This window comes from Homo sapiens, chromosome 15 (assembly GCF_000001405.40).
Source record: "Homo sapiens chromosome 15, GRCh38.p14 Primary Assembly".
In the NCBI taxonomy this organism is placed as follows: domain Eukaryota; kingdom Metazoa; phylum Chordata; class Mammalia; order Primates; family Hominidae; genus Homo; species Homo sapiens.
This window is the reverse complement of record NC_000015.10, coordinates 39,444,733-39,448,302: the sequence shown is the minus strand read 5'-3', so window position 1 is coordinate 39,448,302 and position 3,570 is coordinate 39,444,733. Positions and strand designations below refer to the sequence as shown.

At 42.0% G+C, this 3,570-nt stretch overlaps 1 long non-coding RNA gene across 2 annotated transcripts, besides 1 other annotated feature; it reads right to left on the bottom strand.

The window, feature by feature from the left end:
* Window positions 221–290: a silencer, noted in NCBI's record as "silent region_6309". NCBI's record gives its function as "represses an Ori minimal core promoter by ATAC-STARR-seq in GM12878 lymphoblastoid cells {active_cell/tissue: GM12878}" and the evidence as "EXISTENCE:reporter gene assay evidence [ECO:0000049][PMID:35858748]".
* Window positions 541–3,162, bottom strand: LOC124903468 (uncharacterized). Of its 2 annotated transcripts, none has more exons than XR_007064593.1 (2): window positions 3,103–3,162; window positions 541–658 (listed from the first exon to the last, which is right to left on the bottom strand). It is a non-coding gene; the product is annotated as an uncharacterized LOC124903468 (long non-coding RNA). The 2 variants fall into 2 exon arrangements; XR_007064592.1 differs by lacking the exon at window positions 3,103–3,162 and adding an exon at window positions 1,373–1,518.
* Between the last annotated feature and the right edge of the window lie 408 nt (window positions 3,163–3,570).

Below are 3,570 nucleotides of genomic sequence, written 5' to 3'. Positions count from 1 at the left end.
GGAAGAAATCAAAATAATAGGACAGGGCTTTGCAGTCATAATGTGGAGGTTGGTGGGCCTCTGGGAAAGGCCATCCTTCCCTGGTCTAGCCTTGCACCATCTCCTGCATGGAGACTCATCCATGGGATCTTTAGGTTAAGTTGTTACTCTAGAGTACTCTGTTTAAAGGTAACGATGGAAGCTGAGAGGATTATTTCATCAGTTCACTCTCACAGCGAAAGAGGAACTGGCTAGTTTAGGAGTTTAGGGCCTGTGGGAGTTGAATCTAAGACAGGTACGTTTTGAAAGGTGTTTAGGGCCAGGCCATTGCTGGGTTAAGACAGGGAGGTCAGGGCAGTGCCCCTGCCAAAGGCAGGGTGAGTAGTAAGGCACAGTTTTGTATCAAGGCAGCTTTATATTCAACTCGCCCTTGAGAAACCATATCCTAAATCCCCAGCCCTTTATTTACTAATTTACACCTTTAAAATGATGGGCTTTGGGGATAGCGAATATCTGTTCTTTTCATTTATGGTGTGCATATTCAGAGTTTTAGAAATCAGATGGGAAGCAAAGGAGCTGGAAAAGTTTATTTGTATGTTTGTGCATGGGGAGGTCCCAGTTTGATCTTAAGCAGTGTTCATTTCTTGAAGACAGGTCAGGACTCCTGGTGAGACGGAGCCTGCAAAGAATGTATTTGCATGAATGCTTGATGAGGGCTGCTAGGAGACAACTCATCCTAAGGGGAGAGGAAATCAGATGTGCTTGGTCTAGTGAAAGAGCATGCATCTTTGGCTTTCGGAGGGGAGGAGAAGGCTTTTGAATAATTTACACTGTATAGTACTTGGCTTTTTTTCTTGCCCAGCCTTTCATGGAGTACTGCCTTAGTCCCAGGAGAATGAGACAGATGGTGAAAATGGAGTCTTTCATTCAACTCTCTGTAAGCCATCCTTACACAGCAGTATTGTGTTAGTCTTCAGCTGGGCAAGGATCGTCCACAAAAGAGATGTGGATCTCACGTCTGTGTGGAACACAGTGTGGCTTTTGTGGACTGAGGACACCAGAGGATACAGCTTTGGAAACCTGAGAATTTCAATATATTGGTCCCCGCATAGGAGGTCCTCCAAGCAGGTGGCTGCAATGTTCAATAGAAACCACAGAGGAGAAAGTGGATATTCAGGAACTGTGCAGGTAGGGGCTGGGTAGGAGAGAAGTGGAAGAAAAGTAGGAGATAGCACATGGCAGAAGATCTGACTTGTTTGTGATCAGAAAAAGTGGTAATCTGCCCTCTTTATATATAAAGACACAACATCTGTCAAGCAAACATTCAAAAACTTGTAGTCCCAAAAGTAAAATGAATTATCTGGTGTACTCATCCCCCAACACACATACTCACACATTTTCATTGAGCCCCTTGCTATGACAGCACCCATCTGTAAGAAGGTTACAGAGATTGGGCATGAGATCTTTTGAGACAGTTGCATCTTGTGAGCCTGGGACCCCTTGTTATTCTTGGGGAGAGGGCATCAAAGATGCTGGTGTGATGCAAAGGTCCATAGAGCCCTGAGTGTGTGCGTGTGTGTGTGTGTGTGTGTGTGTGTGTGCACGTGCATGTGTGCTAGAAAAAAGTAAGATGATTTTCTTGTTGGTTTTATTTAGATCAAGATAATTGATCATATTTTTCTACTGTAACATACTGTCATCAGTCACAGTTGCTCACCATGACAGTGATTGTCAATTGTTGCCCAGTGAAGAGTGATGGGAGAATTCCTCTTTAGGTGAGAGTGCAGCCAACTCTCTAGTGAGATGTATGTGGTCAGGAGAGTCCCTGCGATACTTCTATTAAACTTTCTGGTGTGTGTGTGTGTGTGTGTGTGTGTGTGTGTGTAATCTCTGTCATTGATAAAGTTGCTAATTGCTTTAAGTATCTGGGATCCTTCCTAAATCCGGATTTTCAGGGCGGCAAAGTCATAGAACCCATCTCCACAGTCACAGATTTCAGATAACTAGTGCTCATAATGTCTATTTGACTCCTGCCAGATGGCATGAGGTGCTAATGAGCCCAGGGTTATGGGTTCAATTCTTGTACAGGTTCATGAGATGCAACTACCTCCATAGATCTCATGCCCCACCTCTTTAACCTTCTTACAGATGGGTGGTGTCATAGCAAGGGGGCTCAATGAGAATGCGTGAGTGTGTTGTGATGTGGGTATGCCAGATGAATCATTCTATTTTTGGGACTACAAGTTTGTAAGTGTTTACTTGACAGGTGTTGTATCTTTATACATAAAGAGGTCACGTTACCAATAATAAAACCAGTGTGCAATTTATTGAGCACCTGTGTAAGTACTTCACACAGATTCTATTATTGCTCACAAAAACCATATTAGATAGGTACTAATATTATCTTCATTTTATAGATGAGGAAAGGGTAGTTTAAAGTGATTAAATAACTTGTTCCAAAATGCTCAGCTAGTCGTAGCAGAAACAGGTGTAATTGAACCCATACTTCTAAAGTGTGTTATGTTCTTAATCTTTGTGCTGTGCTACCTCATTTTTTAAAAAGAAAAATTTAATCTTTAATTTGTTATTACAGAATCTTAAGTTAATTTTTTAAAATTTTTATTTTTAATGCTACCTCATTTAAAGTAATTTTTAAAATTTTAAAATATTAAGAAAAACATCAAGTCTATAAATATGAAAATATGGACTAACAAAAGAAGAACAAGATTTAAAAAAATCTTCAGTTCTACCTTCCGCGTAAGTGTGTGTGTGTGTTCTAATGTGCTTTGGTGAGCTAGTTCATGATTCACTTTGGTTTATAGATGGATTAACCAAAGCCCAATGAGGACATGAAGGAACATCACTAAAGTCACCCTTGCAGGTGATGCCAGGACAGGATTTCTTGGTTGTTCAACTACTGAGGAAATTAGATAAGACAAATAAAATTCTGCCAGGAAGCTGAGTTTGGGGCCATTTCTACCACAGCTAAGACCAGAAAACAGCAGGAATTTGAATCACTCCCATCCCTCAGAGAGCCCCAGGGAGGCAGCATTTTTCCAATCTGCTGAAGAGTCTAAGGGACCGCAGCTTAGGGACTTTTCAGTACACGAAGAAGCTGATTACCGGCTCTCCCATCCCAGGTAATGCTACTTTTCCCTGGGTCCTGGCTTGTTGGAATCTACTTTTCTCCATCACCAATATGAATGTTTGTTCCTGGATCCTTTTTACCAGATCTTTTTCTTGTTCTCTTTTGGTAAGGACTTTGAAATTGGGAGCATTCCAAGCAGAAAGCACTCTGTACAGCTCTGTAATTCTTGAGAGAGAGTGTGAGAGAAACCAAACCTAAATGATGAAATGCACGTGCTCTGCCATTTCCCCCAGCAGCGGGCTCTGTCATAATAGAGTCTGACGCTCCCGTTGGAATGCGTGTCCGGAGCTGGAAACAGTGCCCTGTTTCCCAGTGTCCACTGGGAAAGCAGTAAACGTCCTCTCCACTGAGATGTGAAATGTCAACATAATGGGCAGATTGGGATTAAGCTGGGCTCCTGGTAGCAACGGAGCAAAATAACTTCACTAAATAAATGGAGATAA